We start from the raw sequence: 14,744 nt of genomic DNA on the forward strand, positions 1-14,744 counted from the left end.
GGTGTGCTTTGAGGCCTTTGGTGAAAAAGGAAATATCTTAACATAAAAACTAGACAGAAGCCTTCTCAGAAACATATTTGTGATGTGTGCACTCAACTCACAGAGTTGAACCTTTCTTTTGATAGAGCAGTTTTGAAACACTCTTTTTGTAGTATCTGTAAGTGGAGATTTAGAGCGCTTTGAGGACTATGGTGAAAAAGGAAATATCTTCACATGAAAACTAGACAGAAGCATTCTCAGAAACTTCTTTGTGATGCTTGCATTCAACTCGCAGAGTTGAAAATTCCTTTTCATAGAGCAGTTTTGAAACACTCTTTTTGTAGAATCTGCTAAAGGTCATTTGGAGCACTCTGAGGCCTTCGTTCGAAACGGGAATACTTCACATAAAAATTAGACAGAATCATTATCAGAAACACCTTTGTTATGTGTGCAATCAACTCACAGAGTTGAACCCTTTTTTTGATAGAGCATTTTTGAAACACTCTTTTTATAGGATCTGCAAGTGGACATTTTGTGTGCTTTGAGGCCCATGGTGTAAAAGGAAACATCTTAACATAAAAACTAGGCAGAAGCATTCTCAGAAACTCCTTTGTGATGTGTGCATTCAACTCACAGTGTTGAAACTTTCTTTTGATAGAGCCGATTTGAAACACTCTTTTTGTAGAATTTGCAAGTGGATATTTGGACAGCTTTGAGACCTTCGCTGGAAACGGGAATATCTTCACATAAAAACTAGACAGAAGCATACTCAGAAACATCCTTGTGATGTTTGCATTCAATTCATGGAGTTGAACATTCCTTTTCATAGGGTAGTTTTGAAACACACTTTTTGTAGTATCTGCAAGTGGACTTTTGGTACGCTTTGAGGCCTATAGTGAAAAAGGAAATATCTTCACATAAAAACTAGACAGAAGAACTCTCAGAAACTTCTTGGTGATGTGTGTACTCAACTCACAGTGTTGTACCTTTCTTTTGATAGAGGAGATTTGAAACACTCTTCTTGTGGAATCTGCAAGTGGACATTTGGAGTGCTTTGTGGCCTTCGTTGGAAACGGGTATATCTTCATATAAAAACGAGACAGAAGCATTCTCAGAAACATCTTAGTGAAGTTTGCATTCACCTCACAGAGTTGGAAATTCCCTTTCATAGAGCAGTTTTGAAACACTCTTTTTGTAGTATCTGGAATTGGACATTTGGAGCGCTTTCAGGACCATGGTGAAAAAGGAAATATATTCACATAAAAACTAGACAGAAGTATTCTCAGAAACTTCTTTGTGATGTGTGTACTTAAATCACAGTGTTGAATTTTCTTTTGATAGAGCAGTTTTGAAACACTCTTTTTGTAGAATCTGCAAGTGGATATTTGGATAGGATTTAGGCTTTCGTTGGAAACGGGAATATCTTCACATAATAACTAGACAGAAGCATTCTCAGAAACTTCTTTGTGATGTTTGCATTCAACACACAGATTTGAGCATTCCTTTTCACAGAGTAGTTTTTAAACACTCTTTTTGTAGAATCTGCAAGTGGTCATTTGGAGCACTTTGAGGCCTTCGTTCGAAAAGGGAATACCTTCACATAAAAACTAGACAGAATCATTATCAGAAATATCTTTGCAATATGTGCATTGAACTCACAGAGTTGAATCCGTCTTTTTATAGAGCAGTTATGAAACACTCTCTTTGTAGGATCTGCAAGTGGACATTTTGGTGTGTTTTGAGGCCTATGGTGAAAAATGAAGTATCTTAACATAAAAACTAGACAGAAGCATTGTCAGAATCTTATTTGTGATGTGAGCACTCAACTCACGTATTTGGACCTGTCTTTTGATAGAGCAGATTTGAAACACTTTTTTTGTGTAATCTGCAAGTGCACATTTAGAGCGCTTTGTGGCCTTCATTGGAAACGGGAATATCTTCACATAAAAACTAGACGGAAGCATTCTCAGAAACTTCTTTGTGATGTGTGTACTCAACTCACTGAGTTTAACCTTTCTTTTGATAGAGAAGTTTTGAAACAATCTTTTTGTAGTGTCTGCAAGTGGATATTTGGATAGCTTTGAGGCTTTCGTTGGAAACGAGAATATCTTCACATTAAAACTAGACAGAAGCATTCTCAGAAACTTGTTTGTGATGTGTGTACTCAACTAACAGAGTTTAACCTTTCTTTTGATAGAGCATTTTTGAAACACTCTTTTTGTAGGATCAGCAAGTGGACATTTTGTGTGCTTTGAGGCCTATGGTGAAAAAGGAAATATCTTCCCATAAAAACTAGACAGAAGCATTCTCAGAAACTTCCTTGTGATGTGTGTACTCAACTCACAGAGATGATTCTTTCTTTTGATAGCGCAGTTTTGAATCACTCTTTTTGAAACATTTACAAGTGCATATTTGGACAACTTTGAGTCTTTCGTTGGAAACGGGAATATCTTCTCATAATAACTAAACAAAAGCATTCTAAGAAAATTCTTTGTGATGTGTGCATTCAACTCACGGAGTTGAACCTTTGTTTTGATGCAGCAGATTTGAAAAACTCTTCTTGTAGAATTTGCAAGTGGATATTGCACAGCTTTGAGACCATCGCTGGAAACGGGAATATCTTCACATAGAAACTAGACAGAAGCATACTCAGAAAGTTGTTTTTGATGTTAGCATTCAACTCGCGGAGTTGAATATTCCTTTTCATAGGGCAGTTTTGAAACACACTTTTTGTAGTATCTGCAAGTGGACTTTTGGAGCTCTTTGAGGCCTATCGTGAAAAAGGAAATATCTTCCCATAAAAATTACACAGAAGAATTCACAGAAACTTCTTTGTGATGTGTGTACTCAACTGACAGAGTTTAAGCATTTTTTTGATAGAGGAGATTTGAAACACTCTTTTTCTGGAATCTGCAGGTGGACATTTGGAGTGCTTTGTCGTCTTCGTTCGAAACGGGAATATCTTCACATAAAAACTAGACAGAAGCGTTCACAGAAACTTCTTTGTGATGTTTGCATTCAACTCACAGAGTTGAATATTCTCTTTCATAGAGCAGTTTTGTAACACTCTTTTTGCAGTATCTGGAAGTGGACATTCGGAGTGCTTTGAGGCCTATGGTGAAAAAGGAAATATCTTCATATAAAAACTAGACAGAAGCATTCTAAGAAACTGCTTTGTGATGTGTGTACTCAACTCACAGTGTTAAACCTTTCCTTTGATAGAGCACTTTTGAAACACTCTTCTTGTAGAATTCACAGGTGGATATTAGGACAGCTTTGAGGCTTTCGTTGGAAATGGTAATATCTTCACATAAAAACCAGACAGAAGCATTCTCAGAAACTTCTTTGTGAGGTTTGCATTCAACTCACAGAGTTGAACATTTCTTTTCATAGAGCAGTTTTGAAGCACTCTTTTCGCAGAATCTGCAAGTTGTCATTTGTAGCACTTTGAGGCCTTCGTTCGAAACGGGAATATCTCCACATAAAAACTAGACAGAATCATTATCAGAAACATCTTTGTGATGTGTGCATTCAACTCACAGAGTTGAACCTTTCTTTTGATACAGCAGTTTTGAAACACTCTGTAGAATGTGCAAGTGGACATTTGGTGTGCTTTGTGGCCTATTGTGAAACAGGAAATAATATAAAAACTAGGACAGAAGCATTCTCAGAAACTTATTTGTGAAGTCTGCACTCAACTCACATATTTGAACCTTTCTTTTCTTAGAGAAGTTTTGAAACACTCTTTTTGTGGAATCTGCAAGTGCACATTTGACGCGCTTTGTGGCTTTTGTTGGAAACGGAAATATCTTCACACAAAAACTCGACAGAACCATTCTCAGAAACTTCTTTGTGATGTTTGCATTCAACTCACAGAGTTAAACTTTCCCCTTCATAGAGCAGTTTTGAAACACTCTTTTTGTAGTACCTGGAAACGGACATTTGGAGCGCTTTGAGGCCTATGCTGAAAAAGGAAATATCTTCATATAAAAACTACACAGAAGCATTCTCAGAAACTTCTTTGTGATGTGTGTACTCAAATCATGGAGTTGAACCTTTCTTTTGATACAGCAGTTTGGAAACAGTCTATTTGTAGAATCTGAAAGTGGATATTTGGGTAGCTTTGAGGCTTTCGTTGGAAACGGGAATGTCTTCACATAAAAACTAGACAGAAGCATTCTCAGAAACTTTTTTGTGATTCTTTTATTCAACTCACAGAGTTGAACATTCCTTTTCATAGAGCAGATTTGAAACACTCTTTTTGAAGCATCTGTAAGTGGAAAATTGGAGCTCTTTGAGGCATATGCTGAAAAAGGAAATATCTTCCAATAAAAATTAGACAGAAGAATTCTCAGAAACTTCCTTGTGATGTGTGTACTCAACTCACAGAGTTGAACCTTTCTTTTGATAGAGCAGTTTTGAAGCACTCTTTTTGTAGAATCTGCAAGTGGATATTTGGATAGCTTTGAGGCTTTCGTTGGAAACGGGAATGTCTTCACATAAAAACCAGACAGAAGCATTCTCAGAAACTTTTTTTGATGCTTGTATTCAACTCACAGAGTTGAACATTCCTTTTCATAGAGCAGTTTTGAAACACTCTTTTTGAAGAATCTGTAAGTGGAAACATGGAGTTCTTTGAGGCATATGCTGAAAAAGGAAATATCTTCTAATAAAAACTAGACAGAAGAATTCTCAGAAACTTCTTTGTGATGAGTGTACTCAACTCACAGATTTGAACTTTTCTTTTGATAGAGCAGTTTTGAAACACTCTTTTTGTAGGGTGTGCAAGTGGATATTTGGATAGCTTTGAGGATTTCGTTGGAAAAGGGAATATCTTCACATAAAAACCAGAGAGAAGCATTCTCAGAAACTTATTTGTGATGCTTGCATTCATCTCACAGAGTTCAAAATTCCTATTCATAGAGCAGTTTTGAAACACTCTTTTTATGGAATCTACAAGTGGACATTTGGAGCGATTTGAGACCTATGGTGAAAAAGGAAGTATCTTCACATAAAAAGTAGACAGAAGTATTCTCAGAAACTATTTTGTGATGTGCGTACTCAACTCACAGAGTTAAACCTTTCCTTTGATACAGCAGTTTTGAAACACTCTTCTTGTGGAATTTACAAGTGCATATAAGGACAGCATAAAGGATTTCGTTGGAAACGGGGATATCTGCACATAAAACTAGAGAGAAGAATTCTCAGAAACTTCTTTGTGATGTGTGCATTCAACTCACACAGATGAAATTTTCCTTTGGTAGAGCAGGTTGGAAACACTCTTTTTGTAGAATTTGCAAGTGGATATTTGGACAGCTTTGGGGCCTTTGCTGGAATTGGGTATATCTTCACATAAAAACTAGACAGAAGCATTTTCAGAAACTACTTTTTGATGCATGCATTCAACTCGCAGAATTGATCATTCCTTTTCATAGAGCGGTTTTGAAACACTCTTTTTGTAGAATCTGTAAGTGGAAACTTGGAGCACTTTGAGGCCTATGGTGAAAAAGGAAATATCTTCCCATAACAACTAGACAGAAGAATTCTCAGAAACTTCCTTGTGATGTGTGTACTCAACTCACAGATTTGAACATTTCTTTTAATGGAGCTGTTTTGAAACACTCTTTTTGTAGAATCTGCAAGTGGATATTTGGACAGCTTTGAGGCTTTCGTTGGAAACGGAAATATCTTCATATAAAAACTAGACAGAAGCATTCTCAGAAAATTCTTTGTCATGTGAGTCCTCAACTCACAGAGTTCAACTTTTCTTTTGATAGAGCAGATTTGAAACACTCTTTTTGTAGCATCTGCAAGTGGATATTTGGATAGCTTTGAGGATTTCGTTGATAAAGTGAATATCTTCACATAAAAACTAGAGAGAAGCGTTCTCAGAAATGTCTTTGTGATGTTTGCATTCATCTCACAGAGTTGAACATTCCCTTTCATAGAGCATTTTTGAAACACTCTTTTCGTAGTATCTGCAAGTGGACATTTGGAGCGCTTTGGGTCCTACAGTGAAAAAGGAATTATCTTCACATAAAAAGGAGACAGAAGCATTCTCAGAAACTTCTTGGTCATGTGTGTACTCAACTCACAGAGTTGAACCTTTCTTTTCATACAGCAGTTTTGAAAAACTCTTTCTGTAGGATCTGCAAGTAGATATTTGGATAGCTTTAAGGGTTTCGTTGGAAACGGGAATATCTTCTCATAAAAACTAATCAGAAGCATTCTCAGAAACTTCTTTGTGATGCTTGCATTCAGCTCACAGAGTTTAACGTTCCTTTTCATAGAGCAGTTTTGAAACACTCTTTTTGAAGAACCTGTCAGTGGAAACTTGGAGCGCTTTGAGGGCTATGTTGAAAATATCTTACCATAAAAACTAGACAGAAGAATTCTCAGAAACTTCTTTGTGATGTGTGTACTCAACTTTATAGGGTTGAACTTTTCTTTTGAAAGAGCAGTTTTGAAACACTCTTTTTGTAGGGTTTGCAAGTGGGTATATGGATCGCTTTGAGTATTTCCTTGGAAGTGGGAATATCTTCACATAAAAACGAGACAGAAACATTCTAAGAAACTAATTTGTGATATTTGCATTCAACTCACAGAGATGAACATTCCCTTTCATAGAGCAGTTTTGAAACACTCTTTTTGTAGTATCTGAAAGTAGAGATTTGCAGCGCTTTGAGGCCTTTGGTTAAAAAGGAAATATCTTCACAGAAAACTAGACAGAAGTATTCTCAGAAACTGCTTCGTGATGTGTGTACTCAACTTACATAGTTGAACATTTTTTTTGATACAGCAGTTTTGAAACACTCTTTTTGTAGAATCTGCAAGTGGATATTCGGATAGCTATGAGGCTTTTGTTGGCAACGGGAATATCTTCACAGAAAAACTAGACAGAAGCATTGTCAGAAACTTCTTTGTGACGCTCGCAATCAACTCACAGTGTTGAACATTCCTTTTCATAGAACAGTTTTGAAACACTCTTTTTGTAGTATCTGGAAGTGTACATTTTGAGCGCTTTGAGGTCTATGGTGAAAAAGGAAATATCTTCACATAAAAACTAGACAGAAGCATTCTCAGAAATTTCTTTATGATGTGTGTACTCAACAAAGAGAGTTGAACCTTTCCTTAATACAGCAGTTTTGAAACACTCTTTTTGGAGAAACTCAAAATGGATAATTGGATAGCTTTGGGTATTTCATTGGAAGCGGGAATATCTTCACATAAAAACTAGAGAGAAGCATTCTCAGAAACTTCTTTGTGATGTTTGCATTCAACTCACAGAGATGAACATTCCTTTTCATGGAGCAGTTTTGAAACACTCTTTTTGTCGTATCTGGAAGTGGACAATTGGAGCGATTTGTGCCTTATGGTGAAAAAGGAAACATCTTCATATAAAAATTAGACAGAAGCATTCCCAGAAACTTCTTTGTGATGTGTGCACTCAACTCACAGAGTTGAACATTTCTTTTGAGACAGGAGTTTTGAAACACTCTTTTTGTAGAATCTGAAAGTGGATATTTGGATAGCTTTGAGGATTTCACTGGAAACAGGAATATCTTCAATTAAAAACTATACAGAAGCATTCTCAGAAAATTCTTTGTGATGTGTGCATTCAACTCACAGAGTTGAATCTTTCTTTTGATAGAGCAGATTGGAAACACTTTTGTTGTAGTATTTGCAAGTGGATATTTGGACAGCTTTGAGGCCTTCGTTGGAAACAGGTATCTCTTCACATAAAAACTAGACAGAAGCATTGTCAGAAACTACTTTGTGATGCTTGCATTCAACTCACAGAGTTGAACATTCGTTTTCCTAGAGCAGTTTTGAAACACTCTTTTTGTAGAATCTGTAAGTGGAAACTTGGAGCCCTTTGAGGCCTATGGTGAAAAAGGAAATATCTTCCCATAAAAACTAGACAGAAGAATTCTCAGAAACTTCTTTGTGATATGTGTACTCAACTCTCAGAGTTGAACTTTTCTTTTGATAGAGCTGTTTTGAAACACCCTTTTTGTAGAATCTGCAAGTGGATATTTAGAATGCTATGAGGATTTCGTTGGAAACGAGAATACCTTCACTTAAAAACTAGACAGAAGCAGTCCCAGAAACTTCTTTGTGATGTTTGCATTCAAATCACAGAGTTGAACATTCCGTTTCATAGAGCAGTTTTGAAACACTCTTTTTGTAGAATCTGTAAGTGAACATTTGGAGCGCTTAGAGGCCTATGGTGTAAAAGGAAATATCTTCGCATAAAAACTAGACAGAAGAATTCTCAGAAACTTCCTTGGGATGTGTGTACTCAACTCACAGAGTTGTACTCTTCTATTGATAGAGCAGTTTTGAAACACTCTTTTCGTAGAATCTGGAAGTGGATATTTGGATAGCTTTGAGGATTTCATTGGAAACTGGATTATCTTCACATAAAAACCAGACAGAAGCATTCTCAGAAACTATTTTGTGATGTTTGCATTCAACTCACAGAGTTGAACATTCCTTTTCATAGAGAAGCTTTGAAACACTCTTTTTGTTGTATCTGGTAGTGGACACTTGCAGCACTTGGAGGCCTATGGTGAAAAAGGAAATATCCTCACATAGAAACTAGACAGAAGCATTCTCAGAAACTTCTTTGTGATGTGTGTGTAGATGGCCGAATAGGAAGAGCTCTGGTCTACAGCTCCCAGCATGAGCGACGCAGAAGATGGATGATTTCTGCATTTCCATCTGAGGTACCGGGTTCATCTCACTAGGGAGTGCCAGACAGTGGGCGCAGGTCAGTGGGTGCATGCACCATGCGTGAGCCGAAGCAGGGCAAGGCATTGCCTCACTTGGGAAGCTCAAGGAGTCAGGGAGTTCCCTCTCCGAGTCAAAGAAAGGGGTGAAGGATGGTACCTAGAAAATCGGGTCACTCCCACCTGAATACTGTGCTTTTCTTACGGGCTTAAAAAACGGCTCACCACGAGATTATATCCCGCACCTGTCTCAGAGGGTCCTAAGCCCACGGTGTCTCGCTGATTGCTAGCACAGCAGTCTGAGATCAAACTGCAAGGCGGCAGTGAGGCTGGGGGAGGGGCACCCGCCATTGTCCAGGCTTGCTTAGGTAAACAAAGCAGCCAGGAAGCTCGAACTGGGTGGAGCCCACCACAGCTCAAGGAGGCCTGCGTGACTCTGTAGTCTCCACCTCTGGGGGCAGGGCACAGACAAACAAAAAGACAGCAGTAACCTCTGCAGACTTAAATGTCCCTGTCTGACAGCTTTGAGGAGAGCAGTGGTTCTCCCAGCATGAAGCTGGAGACCTGAGAATGGGCTGACTGCCTCCTCAAGTGGGTCCCTGACCCCTGACCCCCAAGCATCCTAACTGGGAGGCACCCCCCAGCAGGGGCACACTGACACCTCACACGGCAGGGTACTCCAACAGACCTGTAGCTGAGGGTTCTCTCTGTTAGAAGGAAAACTAACAATCAGAAAGGAAATCCACACGAAAAACCCGTCTGTACATCACCATCATCAAAGACCAAAAGTAGATAAAACCACAAAGATGGGGAAAAAACAGAACAGAAAAACTGGAAACTCTAAAAAGCAGAGCGCCTCTCCTCCTCCAAAGGAACACAGTTCCTCACCAGCAACGGAACAAAGCTGGATGGAGAATGACTTTGATGAGCTGAGAGAAGAAGGCTTCAGAAGATCAAATTACTCTGAGCTATGGGAGGACATTCAAACCAAAGGCAAAGAGTTGAAAACTTTGAAAAAAATTTAGACGAATGTATAACTAGAATAACCAATACAGAGAAGTGCTTAAAGGAGCTGATGGAGCTGAAAACCAAGGCTCGAGAACTACGTGAAGAATGAAGAAGCCTCAGGAGCCAATGCGATCAACTGGAAGAAAGGGTATCAGCGATGGAAGATGAAATGAATGAAATGAAGCAAGGAGGGAAGTTTAGAGAAAAAAGAATAAAAAGAAATGAGCAAAGCCTCCAAGAAATATGGGACTATGTGAAAAGACCAAATCTACGTCTGATTGGTGTACCTGAAAGTGATGGGAAGAATGGAACCAAGTTGGAAAACACTCTGCAGGATATTATCCAGGAGAACTTCCCCAATCTAGCAAGGCAGGCCAACATTCAGATTCAGGAAATACAGGGAACGCCACAAAGATACTCCTCCAGAAGAGCAACTCCAAGACACATAATTGTCAGATTCACCAAAGCTGAAACGAAAGAAAAAATGTTAAGGGCAGCCAGAGAGAAAGTTCGGGTTACCCTCAAAGGGAAGCCCATCAGACTAACAGCGGATCTTTCGACAGAAACCCTACAAGCCAGAAGAGAGTGGGGGCCAATATTCAACATTCTTAAAGAAAAGAATTTTCAACCCAGAATTTCATATCCAGTCAAACTAAGCTTCATAAGTGAAGGAGAAATAAAATACTTTACAGACAACCAAATGCTGAGAGATTTTGTCACCACCAGGCCTGCCTTACAAGAGCTCCTGAAGGAAGCACTAAACATGGAAAGGAACAACCAGTACCAGCCGCTGCAAGATCATGCCAAAATGTAAAGACCATCGAGACTAGGAAGAAACTGCATCAAGTAACGAGCAAAATCACCAGCTAACATCATAATGACAGGATCAAATTCACACATAACAATATTAACATTAAATGTAAATGGACTAAATGCTCCAATTAAAAGACACAGACTGGGCCGGGCGCGGTGGCTCATGCCTGTAATCCCAGCACTTTGGGAGGCTGAGGCGGGCGGATCACGAGGTCAGGAGATCGAGACCATCCCGGCTAAAACAGTGAAACCCCGTCTCTACTAAAAATACAAAAAATTAGCCGGGCGTAGTGGCGGGCGCCTGTAGTCCCAGCTACTTGGGAGGCTGAGGCAGGAGAATGGCGTGAACCTGGGAGGCGGAGCTTGCAGTGAGCCGAGATCCCGCCACTGCACTCCAGCCTGGGCGACAGAGCGAGACTCCGTCTCAAAAAAAAAAAAAAAAAAAAAAAGACACAGACTGGCAAATTGGATAAAGAGTCAAGACCCATCAGTGTACTGTATTCAGGAAACCCAACTCACATGCAGAGACACACATAGGCTTAAAATGAAAGGATGGAGGAAGATCTACCAAGCCAATGGAAAACAAAAAAAGGCAGGGGTTGCAATCCTAGTCTCTGATAAAACAGACTTTAAACCAACAAAGATCAAAAGAGACAAAGAAGACCATTACATAATGGTAAAGGGATCAATTCAACAAGAAGAGCTAACTATCCTAAATATATATGCACCCAATACAGGAGCACCCAGATTCATAAAGCAAGTCCTGAGTGACCTACAAAGAGACTTAGACTCCCACACATTAATAATTGGAGACTTTAACACCCCACTGTCAACATTAGACAGATCAACGAGACAGAAAGTCAACAAGGATACCCAGGAATTGAACTCAGCTATGCACCAAACGGACCTAATAGACATCTATAGAACTCTCCACCCCAAATCAACAGAATATACATTTTTTTCAGCACCACACCACACCTATTCCAAAATTGACCGCATAGTGGGAAGTAAAGCTCTCCTCAGCAAACGTAAAAGAACAGAAATTATAACAAACTATGTCTCAGACCACAGTGCAATCAAACTAGAACTCAGGATTAAGAATCTCACTCAAAACCGCTCAACATCATGGAAACTGAACAACCTGCTCCTGAATGACTACTGGGTACATAACGAAATGAAGGCAGAAATAAAGATGTTCTTAGAAACCAACGAGAACAAAGACACAACATACCAGAATCTCTGGGACGCATTCAAAGCAGTGTGTAGAGGGAAATTTATAGCACTAAATGCCCACAAGAGAAAGCAGGAAAGATCCAAAATTGACACCCTGACATCACAATTAAAAGAACTAGAAAAGCAAGAGCAAACACATTCAAAAGCTAGCAGAAGGAAAGAAATAACTAAAATCAGAGCAGAACTGAAGGAAATAGAGACACAAAAAACGCTTCAAAAAATTAATGAATCCAGGAGCTGGTTTTTTGAAAGGATTAACAAAATTGATAGACCGCTAGCAAGACTAATAAAGAAAAAAAGAGAGAAGAATCAAATAGACACAATAAAAAATAATAAAGGGGATATCACCACCAATCCCACAGAAATACAAACTACCATCAGAGAATACTACAAACACCTCTACGAAAATAAACTAGAAAATCTAGAAGAAATGGATAAATTCCTGGACACATACACTCTCCCAAGACTAAACCAGGAAGAAGTTCAATCTCTGAATAGACCAATAACAGGAGCTGAAATTGTGGCAATAATCAATAGCTTACCAACCAAAAAGAGTTCAGGACCAGATGGATTCACAGCCGAATTCTACAAGAGGTACAAGGAGGAACTGGTACCATTCCTTCTGAAACTATTCCAATCAATAGAAAAAGAGGGAATCCTCCCTAACTCATTTTATGAGGCCAGCATCATTCTGATACCAAAGCCGGGCAGAGACACAACCAAAAAAGAGAATTTTAGACCAATATCCTTGATGAACATTGATGCAAAAATCCTCAATAAAATATAGGCAAACTGAATCCAGCAGCACATCAAAGAGCTTATCCACCATGATCAAGTGGGCTTCATCGCTGGGATGCAAGGCTGGTTCAACATATGCAAATCAATAAACGTAATCCAGCATATAAACAGAACCATCAACAAAAACCGTATGATTATCTCAATAGATGCAGAAAAGGCCTTTGACAAAATTCAACAACCCGTCATGCTAAAAACTCTCAATAAATTAGGTATTGATGGGACGTATTTCAAAATAATAAGAGCTATCTATGACAAACCCACAGCCAATATCATACTGAATGGGCAAAAACTGGAAGCATTCCCTTTGAAAACTGGCACAAGACAGGGATGCCCTCTCTCACCGCTCCTATTCAACATAGTGTTGGAAGTTCTGGCCAGGGCAATAAGGCAGGAGAAAGAAATAAAGGGTATTCAATTAGGAATAGAGGAAGTCAAATTGTCCCTGTTTGCAGATGACATGATTGTATATTTAGAAAACCCCATCATCTCAGCCAAAAATCTCCTTAAGCTGATAAGCAAATTCAGCAAAGTCTCAGGATACAAAATCAATGAGCAAAAATCACAAGCATTCTTATACACCAACAACAGACAAACAGAGAGCCAAATCATGAGTGAACTCCCATTCACAATTGCTTCAAAGAGAATAAAAGACCTAGGAATCCAACTTACAAGGGACGTTAAAGACCTCTTCAAGGAGAACTACAAACCGCTGCTCAACGAAATAAAAGAGGATACAAGCAAATGGAAGAACATTCCATGCTCATGGGTAGGAAGAATTAATATCGTGAAAATGGCCATACTGCCCAAGGTAATTTACAGATTCAATGCCATCCCCATCAAGATACGAATGCCTTTCTTCACACAATTGGAAAAATCTACTTTAAAGTTCATATGGAATCAAAAAAGAGCCCGCATCACCAAGTCAATCCAAAGACAAAAGAACAAACCTGGAGGCATCACACTACCTGACTTCAAACTATACTGCAAGGCTACAGTAACCAAAACAGCATGGTACTGGTACCAAAACAGAGATATAGATCAATGGAACAGCACAGAGACCTCAGAAATAACACCGCATATCTACAACTATCTGATCTTTGACAAACCTTACAAAAACAAGCAATGGGGAAAGGATTCCCTATTTAATAAATGGTGCTGGAAAACTGGCTAGCCATATGTAGACAGCTGAAACTGGATCCCTTCCTTACTCCTTATACAAAAATCAATTCAAGATGGATTAAAGACTTAAACGTTCAACCTAAAACCATAAAAACCCTAGAAGAAAACCTAGGCATTACCATTCAGGACATAGGCATGGGCAAGGACTTCATGTCTAAAACACCAAAAGCAATGGCAACAAAAGACAAAATTGACAAATGGGATCTAATTCAGCAAAAGAGCTTCTGCACAGCAAAAGAAACTACCATCAGAGTGAACAGGCAACCTACAAAATGGGAGAACATTTTCGCAACCTACTCATCTGACAAATGGCTAATATCCAGAGTCAACAATGAACTCAAACAAATTTACAAGGAGAAAACAAACGACCCCATCAAAAAGTGGGTGAAGGAGATGAACAGACACTTCTCAAAAGAAGACATTTATGCAGCCAAAAAACACATGAAAAAATGCTCATCATCACTGGCCATCAGAGAAATGCAAATCAAAACCACAATGAGATACCATCTCACACCAGTTTGAATGGCAATCATTAAAAAGTCAGGAAACAACAGGTGCTGGAGAGGATGTGGAGAAATAGGAACACTTTTACACTGTTGGTGGCACTGTAAACTAGTTCAACCACTGTGGAAGTCAGTGTGGCGATTCCTCAGGGATCTAGAACTAGAAATACCATTTGACCCAGCCATCTCATTATTGGGTATATACTCAAAGGCCTATAAATCATGCTGCTATAAAGACACATGCACACTATGTTTATTGCGGCATTATTCACAATAGCAAAGACTTGGAACAAACCCAAATGTCCAACAATGATAGACTGGATTAAGAAAATGTGGCACATATGCACCATGGAATACTATGCAGCCATAAAAAATGATGAGTTCATGTCTTTGTAGGGACATGGATGAAATTGGAAATCATCATTCTCAGTAAACTATCACAAGAACAAAAAACCAAACACCGCATATTATCACTCATGGGTGGGAATTGAACAATGAG

At 38.9% G+C, this 14,744-nt stretch overlaps 2 annotated features.

The window, feature by feature from the left end:
- Positions 895 to 1,479: an enhancer, noted in NCBI's record as "OCT4-NANOG hESC enhancer chr9:66818900-66819484 (GRCh37/hg19 assembly coordinates)". NCBI's record gives its function as "activates a minimal SCP1, AML or CMV promoter by ChIP-STARR-seq in primed H9 embryonic stem cells {active_cell/tissue: H9 hESC(primed)}" and the evidence as "EXISTENCE:reporter gene assay evidence [ECO:0000049][PMID:30033119]".
- Positions 5,134 to 5,948: an enhancer, noted in NCBI's record as "OCT4-NANOG-H3K27ac hESC enhancer chr9:66823139-66823953 (GRCh37/hg19 assembly coordinates)". NCBI's record gives its function as "activates a minimal SCP1, AML or CMV promoter by ChIP-STARR-seq in primed H9 embryonic stem cells {active_cell/tissue: H9 hESC(primed)}" and the evidence as "EXISTENCE:reporter gene assay evidence [ECO:0000049][PMID:30033119]".

This window comes from Homo sapiens, chromosome 9 (genome assembly GCF_000001405.40).
Source record: "Homo sapiens chromosome 9, GRCh38.p14 Primary Assembly".
NCBI classification, from domain to species: Eukaryota; Metazoa; Chordata; class Mammalia; order Primates; family Hominidae; genus Homo; species Homo sapiens.